The sequence below is a fragment of the Homo sapiens genome, chromosome 2 (genome assembly GCF_000001405.40).
Source record: "Homo sapiens chromosome 2, GRCh38.p14 Primary Assembly".
Classification (NCBI taxonomy): Eukaryota; Metazoa; Chordata; class Mammalia; order Primates; family Hominidae; genus Homo; species Homo sapiens.
Genome location: NC_000002.12, coordinates 147,975,207 through 147,993,781, shown reverse-complemented (window position 1 = coordinate 147,993,781; position 18,575 = coordinate 147,975,207). Strand labels below are relative to the sequence as shown.

Sequence of the window (18,575 nt, the reverse complement as noted above, 5' to 3'; positions counted from 1 at the left end):
AAGGATGAAGGTAGGGTACCAAAGTTCTAAGCCATATAATGCTGTCTTTTTTAAGCCCCCAACCCCCTAATTTTTAGCTCTCCTTTTCCCACCCAAAAAGCACAACTGTCTAAAAATCCTATTTCATTGTAAATGTCAACTGACATTTCCATTTATCCTTGCAAGATTACCTAAGCATGCTGATGGGGGGATGGACAACATATTCATTAGCAAAACAGAATTGGAGAATATCGTTTCGTTGACTCTAGAATTTAGTCTCCTGTGCTTTTTGCATAAGCTGAAGGGTCTCATTAGAAACAATGTATTATTCCTAAAAGTTTTTAGGGAAAATTTTAAGATTTTTCTAGGATAATTTCTAGGGTAATTTCTAGCAATTCTTAAATAATTTATCTCTAAAGCAATGTTATTTTCAGTTTTTTTTCCTTCCAAAAATAGTTTAATATTTACTAATTAACTTACTGGAGTTGTAGCATATTGTAGGGGCCAAGAAAAAACTTCCCTTTCAGCCTCTGAAGGTTCTTTGAAAATCAGCTGAAAAAAGGCAGATTAATAGGAGAAAGGGCATATGATTTTATTTGATCTTGGTGTTACGTGACATGGGAGCCTTCAGAATAAAGACCTAAAGATATAGGAGAAAACTGCCCATTGGTATGCTTAGGTTCAGCAAAGTCTGGACAGCCATATACTGAGTGGGGAAACCCAGCAAGGCCTGCCTGTCTGTATAGATTCTTCTTGGCCTCTCTGTGCAGCATTCTTTCCTTCCGGGTATGGAACAGCACCCTTTCTGGAATGGGGATCCTATGACCTACAATCAAACAGAATAGGTCAGATATGTCTTTATAGTTAGTTTTTACACAGAAAGATGAGGGCAGGGAACATTAGAGTAATATATTTAGGTTCTGTGGCTGGCTTTGGGGAAAGGGAGTTCTGGTTTCTGTGGACTACCTTGGGGACGAGGGATGGTAGTTTCAGTGGCTAGCCTCAGGAGAATGAGAGGCCAGAGACAGGAAGTTAGGAGATGGTCAGAGAGAGCTGCTTTGGAGGACTTTATTTTGGAGTATCATTTCCTTAGCCCTAGCAGTATCATACTTACATTTAAGTAAACTCAAGTCTGTAAACGTGGCAAAGGAAAAATTTATTTGAATAGTGGACAGTATTCTATTCATTATTCTTCTCAAATGAACATATACCCTGAAGTAATTGATATTGCAAGAAAGTACAGTTCTGTAATTTATGTGTAGTTTGGGGCTTTTCAAGGAAAATTTGTCTACATGTGCCTTCTCACCCACCAATTTTAGTGCCCTAGTCTTAAATCTTGTGTCCCATATAATGCAACCATCCTTCACAAAAATGATATTTTTGTCAGGGGCAGTACCTCACACTTGTAATCCCAGCTATTTAGGAGGCTGAGTCAGGAGGATTGCTTGAGGCCAGGAGTTCATGACTTCAGTGAGCTATTATCGTGCCACTGCCCTAGTTGACAGAGGGAAGCCCCATCTCTTAAACCAAAAACAAAAAAAAGTTTTCGTTGATTCAAGTGTCTGTCGCCCTTATACTATTTATCCATCCAATTAAACACATTAGCTTGGATTCACAAGCTTAAATCCTGAAGGTAGCCTACTTCCATGTGCTCAGAGAACATAGACTACTGTTGATCACTATAATATTTAAGATGTAGTTATGTCAGTGCCAGTAAGATCATATAATGCATTTCCAAAGCTTCTAAAGGATTTCTAAATACGTTGCAAATTTGTGTTAGTTCTTTTGTTAGCCTATATAATTCAGAAGTAAATGCATTTTAAGACGTATACTTTAAAGAAGTCCTCCAACTAGTATTTCTTTTTTATTCATTCATCAACACTACTGCAGAATTGATACTTTGTATCATTTACAAGGTGTATTCCATGGTTAATAATCAAAACAACTGTAGTAATGTCTTTTTTTCATTTTGTGAGACGGAGTCTTGCTCTGTCTTGCCCTGGTTGGAGTGCAGTGGTGCAATCTCCGCTTACTGCAGCCTCCGCCTCCCCGGTTCAAGCGATTCTCCTGTCTCAGCTTCCCGAGTATCTGGGATTACAGGTACGCACCACGACACCTGGCTAATTTTGTATTTTTAGTAGAGACGGGGTTTCACCATGTTGTCTAGTCTGGTCTCAAACTCCTGAACTCAGGTGATCCACCCGCCTCAGCCTCCCAAAGTGCTGGGATTACAGGTGTGAGCCACCATGCCCGGCCAACTGTAGTAATTTCTAAATGTCTTTCTTTACTGAACATATCATAGTATTAACTCTCTGATTATCCTTCTGGGGGTTGTTTATTTCATAACTATTTACCTCCCATGTTCTTGAAAACAACTTTATTGGCTTATTCATGAATATCAAGGCTCTAATAGGTACTTTATAAAGTAAGTACACTTATTAAAAGATATATATGTATGGGGTGCAGTGGCTCACGCCTGTAATCCCAGCAGCACTTTGGGAGGCTGAGGTGGGCGGATCACCAGGTCAGGAGTTCGAGACCAGCCTGGCCAATATGGTGAAACCCCATCTCTACTAAAAATACAAAAATTAGCCGAGCGTGGTGGCGCATGCCTGTAATCCCAGCTACTCAGGAGGCTGAGGCAGGAGAATCGCTTGAACCCTGGAGGTGGAGGTTGCAGTGAGCTGAGATGGTGCCACTGCACTCCAGCCAGGCGACAGAGTGAAAGTCCAGCTCAAAAAAAAAAAAAAAAGATATATATGTATATACGTTTATATTCATATGTGTGTATATATATGTATGTGTGGTTGTGTGTGTCTGTGTATATATGATTCCAGACATACTGCCATGTACTAGTGAAGATTACTGAAATTCAGAGGTTAGAGAGAACATGGCTTTTCTGGAGAATTGCAAGCCTTTTCAATTATTTAATCAGTTTAAGTACCAAGACATTATAAAATATTTTTCTTCATTTTAATATCAATGAGAAAATATCATGGCATCATATTACTTAACTAAAGGTTATCAAACCTTGGAATCATTTAATCTGAATGTGTCCTTAAGTAAATTGTGTCCTTTTAATATTCACTGGCAACAAATGAGGAGGAAAAAAAGATTTTACAAAACTGTCAGTAATTACCATGGTTTATTCACCTGTGGTCCAAAAGTTGATTTGTGTGGAATTATTCTTCAGCTCTGGAGAACTCAAGGAAACATCTCACCAGAGGCTGTGCCCCAACTTGATATAGATAGCATTTTTGAGCTGATCTCTTTAGGAAGAACTAACAGAGTTTACTTATTTTCTAACTTGGAATATATATCAGTATTGGCCCTTATTTCTCCCCACACTCAACCATTCTTTTAACTCTATTTTAATCTTTACCTCTGTACAAACAATCCAACTGGGGGAGAAAAAAGAATGAAAACTAATTCTGATGGACTGAAAAACAGCTTAAATGTATTTTTCTTGCCTCAGTTTCATCTCAAAGGACAGTAACAAAACATGGAAACCACCTTCAAATTTCTCCTAAAATACCTTTCATTTTACGTTATTTGACTGTTTAGCTAGCAAATCAAGAACATTTTATCGAACTGAAGAGAGGCAAAGTTCTGAAATTTTGTCCATACTTACCTATCTTTGAGAAATGTCAGCCGTGTGAAGTTAGGTCCTAGGTAAACAGTAATAGAATTTGTATTTTAACTTTTTTCTAATAAAGGGAGTGGGGTAGTGGTATTGTTTTCGGTGTTTTCTTCTGCCACCATCTGGAAAGAAAGCAGTATTAAACATCTTTTTAATTTACTAAGAGTTCTTTTCACAAAGTAATGCCCCCATCTGCTGGAGCTGTAAGGTTTTGCCTCAAAGTAAGGGTATTAGAGAAAATAATACATGATCATTTGTGTATTTTTGAATTATATTTTCTAGTCTCATCCACTAATTTTACCAAGGTTTTTGTAGGAGTTGTTAGCCAATTTCATCTTCTCTTGATGTGTTAGTTCTTATTCCAAACTAAGAAAAACTTGATATAAATTAGTGTTCTTGGAAAGTGGTGCATGGTTTTTGTTTCTTGTTGTTGTTGTTCCTATTGTTGTTGTTTTTGAGATGAGTCTCGCCCTATTGCCCTGGTGGGAGTGCAGTGTTGGCGATCTTGGCTCACTGCAACCTCCGCCTCCTGGGTTCAAGCAGTTCTCCTGCCTCAAGTCTCCTGAGTAGCTGGGATTACAGGCACGTGCCACCACACCTGGCTAATTTTTGTATTTTTAGTAGAGATGGAGTTTCACCATGTTGGCCAGGCTCGTCTCAAACTCCTGACCTCAAGTGATCTGCCCACCTCAGTCTCCCAAAGTGCTGGTATAACAGGTGTGAGCCACTGCGCCCAGCCGAAAAGTGGTATGTTTTTATATTTTTAACAAATGGGTATGAGAAAACAAAAAATGCTCAGAACAGTCTGAGCTCTGAGGTATGCAGGCCCAGAGAGATGTGAGTAGTATGGGACTTCAGTTATGCCCCCATACTCCACCCCAACTCCCTACCCCCTGCCACTCTGTAGCCAATGGATAGTTTGTTATTTTAATGTAGATTCTTGGTGAACAACTCAGAGCGTGCCTTTTTATTTTTCTTTTTCTCTTTAAAAATCTACTTGTTACTGCTGCTAATGAGCATATTCAGGGCAACTTGAATTTATGCTCCTTGGTTGCAACCCTCAAGCTTGGCTCAAATGAACTCTCTATGTATGTTATTAATTTTGCCTCAACTTCTTTCCTTTTAGGTCAACACATATAAAACTTACATTATTTACAGAAATATTTGTGAATAGAATAAAAAGTTATGTTTATAAATGTTTTAAGTGTATAGATATGAGAATTTTTATAGGTAACACCTAATTTTTGGCTATAAAATCAGTGTTGGAAACATTTTCAAAATGCCCTATAACACAAATTTCTTCTAAAAAGCAGTTTCTTTCCTACTTTTATTTTAAAATTCCAGATGAAGTAAATCTTTTTTTTTTTTTTGCTTTTTGTTTTTTATTTACTAAGCAGCATGCTGTTGACAGGCAGCCATTTTTCATTCCAGGAAAAAGCTGCAGTTGGAACAGCTGAGATTATTTCACTTACATTTTAAAAATAATAACATCTTTAAATTCAGCAAGTGAGGCTGGGCGTGGTGATTCAGGCCTGTAATCCCAACTGAGGCCAAGGTGGGTGGATCACTTGAGGTCAGGAGTTCGAGACCAGCCTGGCCAACATGGTGAAACCCCCATCTCTACTAAAAATGCAAAAATTAGCCAGGCATGGTGGCACATGCCTGTAATCCCAGCTCCTATCTCCTGAGGCAGGAGAATAGCTTGAACCCAGGAGGCGGAGGTTGCAGTGAGCCAAGATTGCAACCTTGCACTCCCACCAGGGCGACAGAGCGAGATTCTGTCTCAAAAAAAAAAAAAAATTCAGTAAGTCAGCTGGATTCAGTAATGTCTCCAAACTGGATTCATATACCTACATTGTGTATTAATGAGCTGACAGTAAATGAATATGTGATGGTGCCACTCGGAACCCCTTCTTGTTATTGATCTTGAACTCTTCCCTTTCCTTAGGGCGTCTGGGTTGAGTAACATGACTTGACCTGCTGATACAGAGACCAAGTAAAATTTGTCAATGTATATATTAAATATTAGTTAAGTTTAATTTAGCTCTTATTTTTTGGATAGATATTTATAGGTAAACATATTACAATACTTTCTTTTTTTTTTTTTTTTGAGACAGAGTCTCGCTCTGTTGCCCAGGCTGGAGTGCAGTGGCTCTATCTTGGCTCACTGCAAGCTCCGCCTCCCGGGTTCACACCATTCTCCTGCCTAAGCCTCCCAAGTAGCTGGGACTATAGGCGCCGGCCACCACACCTGGCTAATTTTTTGTATTTTTAGTAGAGATGGGGTTTCATCATGTTAGCCAGGATGGTCTCGATCTCCTCACCTCATGATCTGCCCGCCTCGGCCTCCCAAAGTGCTGGGATTACAGGTGGGAGCCACTGTGCCCAGCCTACAATACTTTCTTATTCCAGAGGGTTATTTTGCACCAGCCACCTTACTGACCATTTATATGAAAGATAGGAAAAATTGTTTGTTGTTACCTCTTTGACCTGTGCTTGGACAACTTTGAAACTAAATAAATCGGACATGTTCACACCTGTTTTCTCCTTAAATGCTTTTTTTTGGGTACACAGTGTTACAGCTCCTGGCGTCGTAATTACTAGTAAGATGCTCATAATACTAGAGTACTTTTGATTATCCAGCTGAGGTACATGGTTCTTTTTCTTAAACAATTTGATCCACTAATTCTTATTTTTGTTTTTTACCTTATGGTAGCTGTAGAAAAAATAATTTAAAATATGTTACTTTTTGTGTGTGTGTGTGTGTGTGTATATATATACACACACACACACACATATATATATCTATATATGGAAAGTTCTTGTTCTTTTAAATGACAAATATTATGAAATAGAGCCCATTTTGGTTGAAAAAGTATGTGTGTGTGTAGGCAGGCCACATTTTTAACCTAATAAAAATTATAGGAATTGCTGGACTTTAGATATTTATTAAACCCAAGAGATTTTTTTTTTTTTAAAGATCTCAATCTTAGGTTAAAAAAAGTTTCAAGCTGCTCAAGGTGTTGACCCAGCTACTTAGGAGGCTGAGACGGAAGGATCTCTTGAGCCCAGGAATTCAAATCCAGCTTGTGCAATACAGTGAGACCCTGGGTCTAAAAAAAAAATAGTTTTAAGTTCCTTTTTTACACTTCATGTTTTAAGTTTAGACATTTTCTTTCTACTCTGAAGAATGAAATTAGCAACCGTATGCATTCATGCCACTTTTTTTTCATTTTTTTGTTGAATGATTATTTTCACTGTGTAACGACTTATGTTTCCACCTGCTACTATAATTATTTACCTTTTTTTGGTTTTAGTTTTTTATTTTAGTGGATTCAAAGGTCACTAGTGTGTGTGTGTGTGTGTGTGTGTATGTGTGTGTGTGTCTGTATAAAATTGTGTTTTTAATTATGCTTTAGTTGGCTGGATTTTGTCATTGAGTTCCCCATATCCTCCTGCAACACACACACTCCACACAAGGCTTTATTGGCTCTGTGTACTAAATAAGTTCATTCTTATTTGATAAGGCTATACCTGTTACCTTTATATGTGAGTGACATCTTTGCTAGGTATGAGTCTTGGTCTCTCTCTCAGAACTTTGTAGATATTATGACACCATATTTTAGCATTTTTTTCTCCCTTGTAGGTGTTTTTCAGGCTGAGTCCCAGTGAATTCTTTTTTTTAGGCTTGAAATTTAATAATTGAATTACAGTTTTTATCAGTTTTCTTCTTTTCATATTTGATACATTGATGAGAGTTTAGGAGATTTTATTGATGCAAGTATAGCTTTTAAGAGTGAGGTTAAAGTTAGGAACTATGGAGAACTCCTGTAGAATTTTCTAGGCTTGTTTATTATTAACTTGTCTCTTTGTTTAGTTACTGCTAAAGTATTTCTGTTTAACAGTTTTTTGTTTTGTTTTATTAGAGGAGAAAGATTCTCTGATTCCATTTTTTACCATTTTATCTGCACAATTCCTAATTAAAATTCCAGAGTTTCTGTACGAAACATGTATTCCTTTTTAGCGATGGGAAGAAAGTTTATGATCTTAAAAATAAAGATGTGTACAGAAAAAAATACAAATTGTACACATAGACATTCAAAGAGAAGTGAATTGTTGGTATTGAACATCTGTTATAATAACCGTGTTCTTTCAGAATGTATTCCTCTGCTATGTTTTGTCTCCTAAAGAAAAGCCCAGTGATGATTTTGATGAACTTTCTGATGTTTGCAGGGTTTTTTTTCATGCCAGTTGAGACTAACCAACCTCTGATTGGGAGTCAATAGACCTAACAGCTACTGCTGCTGTTAAGTAAGCTATGTCATCTTGGGCAGGTCATTGTATACCATTGCTAGTCAGCAAGCAGAGAGGTATTTGGTAAATTGACCAAACTTCAAATTTGACATGAAGGACTGTCACCAGGAGTTCATCCAGGTTGCTTCTCCCACAAAGTTTAGGATTATGTTAGTCTAAAAAACAGTGATTAGAACTAACCTAAGATGAGGAGCTTAAGTTAGTTGTGCAAACTAAATGGAGGGCTTTTATGTTCTATTTCTAAGGTAGGAAAACATTTGACATCTGAATGGCTATTGAGCTATATGTAGGAATAAGTTGTTAGTGTCAGCTATTTTCTAATTCTGTCTTTAGATGTTAAGAGAGTTTACTAAGGCTGGGCACGGTGGCTCACGCCTGTAATCCCAGCACCTTGGGAGGCCGAGGCAGGCGGATCACGAGGTCAGGAAATCGAGACTATCCTGGCTAACATGGTGAAACCCCGTCTCTACTAAAAATACAAAAAATTAGCCGGGCATGGTGGCAGGCGCCTGTAGTCCCAGCTACTCAGGAGGCTGAGGGAGGAGAATGGTGTGAACCCGGGAGGTGGAGCTTGCAGTGAGCCGAGATAGCGCCACTGCACTCCAGCCTGGGCAACAGAGCGAGACTCTGTCTCAAAAAAACAAAAAAACAAAAAAAACAGAGAGTTTACTGAATAGTTATCATTATTGTTGGCCAAACAGAGTTAGTCTAAAATACATTATGCAGAATCAGTGTGGTAGACAAAGAGGCTCTGAGTGAGGGTTTGGATCTGAGGAAGGCATCATGAGAAAGAAGAGTTATAAGTACTCATGAAACCTCAAGAGCAGTAAAGGATGTACTTCATAATTTTTAGAATTTATCAACAAGCAACCCTTGGAAAGCATAGGAATGGAGAATTACAATAAATAAGCCACCTCAGTTGAAAAATGGGAGTATGAATATACATGTGATTGAGTCTTGAGATTATTTAGTCATCCTGCTTTAGTTAGCATGTAACTATAAAATTTCAAATACAGATACAGTAAGTAGTGGTCAGTGAATATATTTCAGAATTCATCCCTTCCTTTGTAAAGGTATAGATTGTAGGGGACTTACTGTCATGGGGAAATGCACATAGGCAATTTAGAGAGCAGACAGCTTTAGATGACACATTTTTACAATTCCTATAATTTTTGTCCTTTGTCAATACAGAAGTAAATTTAAAATGGTCAGTAGCTCTCTGATGTATAGTAGTGCTCTGGAACTGCAGTAATGAGAATTTCCTCCATACGCAGTTGACTCTTGAACAATGTAAGGGTTAGGGGTCGAAACACCCCCTCCCTACCAAAAGCAGTTGAAAATCTGCATATAACTTTTGCCTCCCCAAAAACTTAACTGTTAATAGCCTACTTGACTGGAAGCCTTGCTGGTAACATAGTCAATTAATATATATTTTATGTATGTATTATATATTGTATTATTATAATAAAGTAAGGTAAAGAAAAGATATTTAGAAAATATATCTACTATATATAGAAAATATATTTACTATTCATTAAGTTGAAGTGGCTCATTGTAAAGGTCTGCATCCTACTTGTCTTCCTGTTGAGTAGGCTGAGGAGGAAGAGGAGGGGTTGATCTTGTTGCCTAGGGGTAGAAGAGGTGGAGGAGGTAGAAGGGGAGACAAGACAGGTTAGGCACACTGGGTGTAACTAAACAGGTAATTTCTGTCTATCTCTTTTGGTTTCTAATTTCTTTTAAAATGTTTCTATACAGTATCAACCCTTCCTCAACCATTTGCTTTGATTCCAGTACCTGTATCATAGAAGGGTCCATGTCGTAAAAGAAGTCAAGAGTAGTCTTGTATATTCAGAACCGTTCTGCCAGATTGTCTAATGTCAGTTTGTTTTCTGGCACTGTTCTGCATCTTTCTCACTGTCTGGCAGTGGTTCAGAAGCATCTATCTCCACCTTGTCTTCTGTTAATTCCTCTGGTGTGGTATCTGTTAGCTCTTGAATTTCTCTAAGACCCATATGTTGAAACACATCACTCCCCACCCTTTTTGCCGTGTCTACAATCTCTTTCATGATTTTCTTGATTGGCTTTGTAGTAAATCCTGTGAAGTCATGCACAACATCTGGACATAGATTTCTTCAGCAGAAATTTGTTTCAGTCTTGTTGGCTTTCATGGCTTTTTCTATGACAACAGGGCATCTTCAATGGGATAATCCTCCCAGACTTTCATCATGTTCTGTCTGTGGAGGTTTTTCCATAGTGTTGACATTCGTTTCCATAGAGTTCTGTGTGTAATGAACCTTAAAGGTCCCTATGACCCCCTGATCTACAGGCTGAATTAGAGAGTTTGTGTTTGGGGACCAGTGGACCACTTGGACAAAAGCCTTCGGTGTTGAACTCATGGGATTCTGGGTAGCCAGGGGCATTGTCCAATATCAGAAGAACTTCAAAAGGCAGTCCCTTACTGTCTGGGTACTTCCTGACTTCAGTGACAAAGCATCAGTGGAACTAATTCATTAACCCCATTGGCTCATTGAGTGAATCGGTTCCAGTGTTTTGACTATTACGAATAAATTTATCATGAACATACGTGTTACAGGTTTTTGTGTGAACATAAGTTTTTCTGTCAGGTAAGTACCCAAGAGTGCAATTGCTATGTGGCTTGGTAAGAGTATTTGTAGTTTTCTAAGAAACTGCTGTCAAGAAACTTTTCAGAGTAGCCATGCCATTATACATTCCCACCAGTGGTTAAATGAAAGATTCATTTTCTTTACATCCTCACCATCTTTGTGTTATTTTAGCTGCCTTAATCAGTGTGTGGTGGTATCTTACTATGGTTTTACTTTGCATTTTCCTAGCGGATAATGATATTAAACATCTTTGCATATGCTTATTTGCCACCTGCATATCTTTGGTGAAATGTCTACTTATGTATTTTGCCTATTTTCTAATGGGATTCCTTTTTTATTATTGAGTGTTGAGGGTTCTTTAGATACAGATCTTTTGTCAGATATGTGGTTTGCAGGTATTTTCTCCCAGTCTGAAGCTTGTCTCATCTGTACTATTAGAATTGTCTTTGAAATATTCTTTATTATATAGTAGATATTTGACCATTACATGAAGGGGGAAGATGTCAAAATAACCTTTGGACTAAAACTTTATTTACAGTCAAAATTTATGTAGGTTATAAGGTAGATACCATAGTGGCATGTTTGTTGTTTCTTTTATGAATGCTGGCCCCACATGAAGAAAAAATGAATTATCTTAATAGCTTACCTGATTTATATATGATGCAAAGGGGCAGATTAGATACCTGCCTTGGAACTGTGGACATTTATTTAGCTTTTTTGAGTAATTCTTTCTTAATTCATGAAGTGGGTAAAAAATATCTTTTAATTCTAACAATACTGTAAGATAGCTAATGTAGTTCTACAAAATAAAACATACTGCAAAAGCCCTTTCTCCTTTTTACATTTTAATTAGTCTTATAATCTAGGAGACAATTATTACATAGTTCTTTGTGATTTTAGATTTTGGCTGATAGTCAAGAGCATCATAAACCAGAGTTGAGGATATTTTATTAGCTAAAAAGGTTTTTCCCTCTCATAACACTGATTAGGAAAAATAAAAAATAGAATAAGATAAAACTTTAGATATAAAAGACTGCTAGAAGGTATCCTAAGACAGCTGAGAAGACCACTTTTCTTCTAAGAAAGAAGATGCTTAAGGGTCAAGACAATAATTGAGTACTCTGTTATTTAATTTTCAATTAGGAAGCCTGGAGCCAGAGGACTTTTGGTGGCTGAGGCCTTAGCTACCTGGCTTACACATTAAGGAGGACACAGATTTGCTTGCTGTCTGTCTGTCAAGGCCTGGCTCAGCTAAGGACCTGTTAACATTTCTAGAGAAGAAAACAGCATTACCATGGTTTGCTTTCTAATTGTCACTATATGAAATTAATAAATGTGAATGTAAAATATATTGGCTGATCTTCCTTCAGGTTATTGAAATGTGTTTGTACTTCTTTTTTCAAAAAAGTTTGCTAAATACGTAACAATTTCATAAGAGTACAACTTATTTGGGTTCAAATCATTCAAATCCTGGCTCTGCACTTACTTGCTTTTTGATGTATATTTTATATGTTTTTTTTCTAATTGATGAATAAAAATCTTATCCATTTATGGTATACAGCATAATGTTTTAATATAGGTATACATTGTGGAATGACAAAATTAAGCCTATTAATATATCTGTTACCTCACATACCATTTTTTTGTAGTAAGAAAATTTAAAATCTGCTTTCATTCTATGAGTTCCCCTGTTAGAGGTTCCACCTATTGTAGTCCCTCCCTTATCCTCAGTTTCACTTTCCATTGTTTCAGTTACTTTTGGTCAGCTGAAGTTCCAAAATATTAAATGGAAAACTCCAGAAATAAATAATTCATGAGTTTTAAATTGCATGCCACTCTGAGTAATGTGATGAAATCTTGCAGTGTCCTGCTCTGTCTTGCCTGGGACATACATAATTTCTTCGTCCAGCGTATCCATGCTGTGTATTGCATGTGTCCCATAATCACTCAGTAGCCATCTAGGTTATCAGATTAAAAGAACATAGTATATAGAGAGAGTTGGGTACTATCCATGATTTCAGACATGCGAGGGGCGCCTTGGAATTCATCTCCCATGGATAAGGAGAGACTACTGTATAAATTAGATTATGTGGTGTTTGTCTTTCTGTGCCTGGCTTATTTCAGCTAACAGAATATCTCCCAAATGCATCTATGTTGCTGCAAATGACAGGATTTCTTTTTTGTTTAAGGCTGAGTTAGTGTTCTATTGTGTATATATACCACATCTTCTTTATCTTTTCATCCATTGATGGACACTTAGGTTGATTCCGTATTTTGGCTGTGAATAATGCTGGAGTGTATATGGGAGTGAGGATATATCTTTGACATATTGATTTCATTTCCTTTGTATATATTGATGGATATTCAGGAGTGGGATTACCGGTCATGTAATTTGACTTCTAATTTTTTCAAGAACCTCCATACTGTTTTCCATAATGATTATACTAATTTACATTTTTACCAACAGTGTACAAGAGTTTCCTTTCTTCATAATCCTCAACAACACTCATCATCTTTTGCCTTTTTTTGACAATAGCCTTCCTAGCAGGTGTGAAATGTTATCTCATTGTGGTTTTGTTTGTACTTCCCTGAAAATCCCTGACAATTAGTAACACTGAGAATTTTCTCAAATACCTATTTGACATTTTTATGTCCTGTGAGAAATCTTTTTGACCATTTTTTAAATTGGGTTGTTTCCTTGCTATTAAGTTTTTTTTGTTGTTGTTTTTGTTTTTGTTTTTTTTAGTTCCTTATACAGTCATCCCTCTGTATCCACGGGAAACTGGTTCCAGGACTCCCCTGAGATACCAAAATCTGTAGATGCTCAAGTCCTTTCTATAAATTGGCATGGTATTAGCGTATAACCTACACATATCCCATATTCTTTAAATCATCACTAGATTACTTATAATTTCTAATACAATGTAAGTGCTTTGTAAATAGCTATTATAATGTATTGTTTTTAAAATTTATATTAATTTTTATTGTTGCATTTTTTTTCCCCTCTAAATTTTCTCTCTCTTAAGTTGGTTGAATCTGCTGATGAGGAGCGACTACATATTTTGGATTTTAACCTGTTAGCAGATGTAAGATTTGCAAATAGTTTCACTTATTCTGAAGGTTGTCTCTTCACTCTGTTGATTGAAGCTTTTTAGTTTTATGTCTGTTTTCATTATTCTTGCTTCTGCTTTTGGAGTCATATCCCAAAAAAATCTTTGCCGAGTCCAGTGTCAAAAAGCTTTCCCCCTGTGTTTTCTTCCCCTATGTTTCAGGTCTTATGTTTGTCTTTAATCCATTTTTAGTTGATCTTTGTATATGGTGTGCAATAAGGGTTCAATTTCATTCTTCTGCCTGTGGATATCCAGTTTTCCTAACACCATTTCTTGAAGAGACTGTCCTTACTCCGTTGTGTGTTCTTGGCACTTTTGTTGAACATAAGTCAACTGTAAAAGTATGGATTTATTTCTCGACTCTGTATTCTGGGGTCTGTATGTTTGTTTTTATGCCAGAACCATGTTGTTTTGAATTATCTTAGTTTTGCACTAGGTATTGAAATCAGGTAGTCTGATACCTCCAGCATTGTTCTTTAGCTCATGATTGTCTTAGCTATTAAATGTCTCTGTGGGTCCATATGAATTTTAGGATTTTTTTCTATTTCTATGAAAAATGTCATTAGAATTTTGATATGGATTACTTTGAACCTTCACTTCCAGTAGTAGGGACATTTTAATAACATTGATTCTTTCAGTCCATGAACATGGAGTATATTTCCATTTATTTGTGTCTTCACTTTCTTTCATCAATATTGTATAGTTTTCAGTGACAGACCTTTCACCTCTTTTGTTACATTTCTTTCTAATTTGTTTTTGATGCTATTGTAATTAGGACTGGTTTTTAATTTTATCAAATAGTTATTAGTGTGGAGAAATCTTATTGATTTTTTTATGTTGATTTTGTATCCTGCCACTTTACTGTATGTATTAGTACTAACAGTTTTTTGGTAGAGTCTTAAGGATTTTCTCTATATAAAATTATGTTATCTGCAAACAGACCATTTAACTTTCTCTTTTTTGATTTGGATGCCTTTTATTTATTTTTTCTTACCTAATTCCTCTGGCTAGGACTTGCAGTACTATATTGAATATAAATGGCCAAAGTGGGCATTCTTGTCATGTTCTTGATCTTAGAGGGAAAGCTTCCAACTTTTTACCTTTGGGGTGTGATGTTAGCTGTGAGTTTGTTATATATGGCCTTTATTGTGTTGAAGTATATTCCTTTTATACCTAATATATTGACAGTTTTTAAACCTGAAGGAATATTGAATTCTGTTAGAAGCTTTTTCTGTATCTGTTGAGTCAGTCATGTGATTTTTGTCCTTCATTCTGTTAATGCATTATATCACATTTATAGATTTACATATGTTGAACCGTCTTTGCATTCCAAAGATAAATCCCACTTGATCATGGTAATTGATCTAATGTACTGTTGAATTAGATTTGCCAGTATTTGTTGAGGATTTTTGCACCTATATTCATCAAGGATATTGGCCTGCTACCGAAACTGTTCACCAAGAGGCCTGGGAAAATTCATGCACACTGGTACCTCAGAAAATAAGTCCACTGTCCTCAGTCCCAACTGCGGACCCTGATAAGACACTTTAACTTGGCTATGGTCTGAGATCAGTTCAAGGACCCACAAGAAGACAAAACTGTCTGAATCCCTGGGTCAAGCTTTCTGAACTTGGTCCTGCATTAAATACTGAAACAGCCCTGAAGCTCAGCTCCTGCCACTGTTGGTTGCAGCCTGAGAGCAACCCTGCCTGCACAAGGAACTGCTAGGAGACTCACCTGTCTGTGCCATCAGTACAGACTTGCCAATCTCTGTCCCATAGCATATGCTGAAAAAGCTCTGAATCGGGGATTCAGCTCCACTCAGCCACAGTCTTACAGAAATCCTGCACAGAAATCCTCCTGTAGTCAGGAGATACATCCTTCTGTGTCCTCAGGACAGGCAGGCAGATTTCAGTCCCACAGCAGGTCCTGAAACAACCCTGAATCTTGGCATAAGCCCCTCTCAGCTGTGGTCAGAGAGCAGTTCTGCCTACCCAGCATCCTGGAGGGAGATGGGGCTGTCCATAGCCCTGCAAACAGGCCACCTGACCTAGGTCCCTCATCAGTCCCTGAAACACCCCTGAAAAGTGGCTCCAGCCCCTCTCAATACAGCAGGCCCGCTAACTTAAGGACCTGAAGGGAGACATGCAGGTTTGTGACACCTTAGGCCTGAAGACCTAAGTCTTGACTGTAGGCCCTGAAGCAACCCTGTAGCTTAGTTCCAGCCCCACTCAGCTGTGGACTAGGGCAGTACTGCCTGTTAAGGAATCTACTCAGTGATCCAGTAGGAGCCCTCCCAGGTTCCCAGAGAAAGCCAAACCATCCACACACCTGGTAACAGGTCTTTTCTCTGCATATCTTCATCCACTGTACAGACCGAGGTCCTAGAAAAAGTCCAGTCCGCCAAGGGACCAGATAGGGTTCATATCCTGCTACAGCCCCTGGTAACAAGGTCCTATCGGGAGGACAGGGCCCTTTCCAAGTCTGAAGCCTGGACCACAGTTGGGGAATCTGTCACGTGAATGAAGATCTGCCCTCCAATTGACTTTTCCAGGTCTTGGGCCCCACTGGGGTTTCACAGACGCCTGCCTGAATCTCAACGCTAACACAAAGACCATTTTGTCCGTGGGTGGCTGTGAAATTATTGTTGCTATTTGGGGACACAAGCTGAAGGGCCTCCTATTTCATCTTGCTGCTGTCATTCTCGCATTATTATAATGTTAATCATTGGTGATTTGATGATAAGTCAGCTTTTTTTGAGTTTTATGAGTTCTGGCAGTAAAAAAGTTCCAAAATGTCTTTCACTGAGCTAAATTCAGGGTGTTAGCAAAGCTGTGTTCCTTCTGGAGATTAGATGAGACCAGAATACACTTTTTTAAAAAAGTGGTTAACTTGGTTGGATCCAAATCCTGGCTCTTCCATTTATATACTGTTTGATTTTGGTCAACATACCTAGCCTATCTGTGTCTTCTAACCTTAAAAGAGGATTATAATAGTAGTTATTCCACATGATAGTTTTGAGGATTAAATGAGTTGATAAATGCAAAGCATTTGTAACAATTCCTGATACCTAAACACTGCTTAAGCTGTTACTGTCTATCTGTTAAAATTTATTCCTATAGGAAATCAGTGCTAAGAAAATTAGGTCTTTTAGTCAAAGGTCTTTTAGTCATTTGTCTATGAGTATGGTACACTTGAGGAGAATTTTACAAAAAATATAATTTTTTCATTAATTTTTTTTTCATTCCAGTTATTCATTGCCAACTTTGTTTTGGGCATTATGCTACAATGCTTAGAATATAAAAAATCTCAATTTGGAAACAGTAGCAATTAAACAGACAATTTTGTTTAAAATAATTCAATAATAAAGCAAAATACAGGCACTTATGAGTGTTTAAGGAAGAGGCATTTAACCTAGTCTGTAATGATTATTTGTGTATTGTTGGTGAGTGGAGCAAGAAAGGGAAGGTTTTCTATAAGGGATGATCCTGTGGGATGGATGGGTGGGAGAATCATAAAGGAAGCATGTAAGTTAAAAAAAGAAAAAGGAAGAAAGGGAAGGTGAATAGAAGATTTAATCGAAAGGGAGGAGTAGCTGTAAGAACCACATACAGGCCTGGAGGTATTGTAGGTTCAGTTCCAGACCATTGCAGTGAAGCAAATATCACAATAAAGTGAATCACCCAAAACTTTTCTCAGTGCATATAAAATTTATATTTACAGTATACTAGTCTACTAAGTGTGCAGTAGTAGCATGTCTAAAAAATGTACATACCTTAATTTGAAAATACCTTATTGCTAAAAAATGCTGACAGACACAAAATGGGGACATGGTGTTTGAAAAATGGTGCCTATCGACTTGTTGGACACAGAGTTGCTACAAACCTTCAGTTTACTTTAAAAAAAAAATGCACCATCTGCAAAGCACAGTAAAACAAAGTGTGCCTAAAGTGTGGTATGAGAGTGTTGAATCAGCCTGTACTTAGACAAAATGAAGCCATCGAAGATTTTGAAGGTCTTAGGGTTTGAGCATTTTTTACTTTTAAAAACTTGTATTTATTTTAATTCTAGAACAGTAAATTCTTAAGTAATCTCTTTAAGTCACTACGTTTATAATATTTATGCCAATTTTTTTAAAGGATTTGAATTTGTTGAAATGAGCAGTCGTAAATCAAAGAGTAACAGCTTAATTCACACAGAGTGCCTTTCACAGGTTAGTATGTATTTTCATTAATCTCAAGATATTTTACCCTGTAAAGCTGTTCAGAGAAATAGTTATCTTCTTAACCTGAATTTTCCCTTTAGCATTTAGGAAGAATCACTCTTTCTAACCTTAGGGAGATATCAGTACGAGACCTTAACGAGATGCCAGCACAAGGTCGTAAGAACAATCATCTGGAAGCAAAATTTTCCAAACTCTGTCAAAATTAAATGTGGACCAACAGATTTTGTTGTTATGATTGTTCTCTGCCCTTTTTGTCAGTTCATATATTTTTTTTAATATTAGTGTTTTATACTGTAATTTAATTTTATCCTTATTAAGTCTGGGTAGTCAGAATTCTAGCTTTTACTTTTTTCTTTCCAATCTAGATGCCTTTTTTTTTTTTTCCCTTTTCTTGCCTAATTGCCCTGGCTTGAACTTTCTTTAAAATGTTGAATAGGATTGGGAAGAATGGACATTCTTGTCTATGTTTTCATCTTAGAGAAACAGCAGCATTCAGTCTGTCACTGTTATATATGATGTTAACTGTAGGATTTTTTTGTAGATGCCCTTTATTAAGTTGAGGAAGTTCCGTTACGTTTCCTCATCTGTTGAGTGTTTTTATAATGAATGTTATAAGAAGTGTATATTGTATTCCAAGTGCTGAGCATCTATCTGTATGTCTCTTCCTTAAGAAGCTTATAGAT

General features: G+C 37.2%; 1 protein-coding gene and 1 long non-coding RNA gene across 11 annotated transcripts in view; one reads left to right on the top strand and one right to left on the bottom strand.

Annotated features, from left to right (window-relative positions):
• Positions 1-18,575, top strand: part of ORC4 (origin recognition complex subunit 4) — a 91,156-nt gene that overhangs the window by 27,770 nt on the left and 44,811 nt on the right. For 5 of the 10 annotated variants that reach the window (NM_181742.4, NM_181741.4, NM_001374272.1 and 2 more), the window contains exon 2: positions 17,807-17,880. The exons of 2 other annotated variants lie outside the window; for them this stretch is intronic. In NM_181742.4, the coding sequence (NP_859526.1) occupies positions 17,824-17,880 (57 nt within the window). In that variant the 5' untranslated portion in view covers positions 17,807-17,823. Of the gene's footprint in view, positions 1-11,700; positions 11,855-13,583; positions 13,644-17,806; positions 17,881-18,575 lie in introns of all 10 variants that reach the window. 3 more of the 10 variants (NM_001190879.3, XM_011511255.3, NM_001374270.1) reach the window with 2 other exon arrangements.
• LOC105373674 (uncharacterized) lies at positions 547-10,171 on the bottom strand. The gene is made up of 5 exons (XR_007087258.1): positions 9,728-10,171; positions 9,462-9,559; positions 5,474-5,599; positions 3,611-3,741; positions 547-805 (listed from the first exon to the last, which is right to left on the bottom strand). It is a non-coding gene; the product is annotated as an uncharacterized LOC105373674 (long non-coding RNA).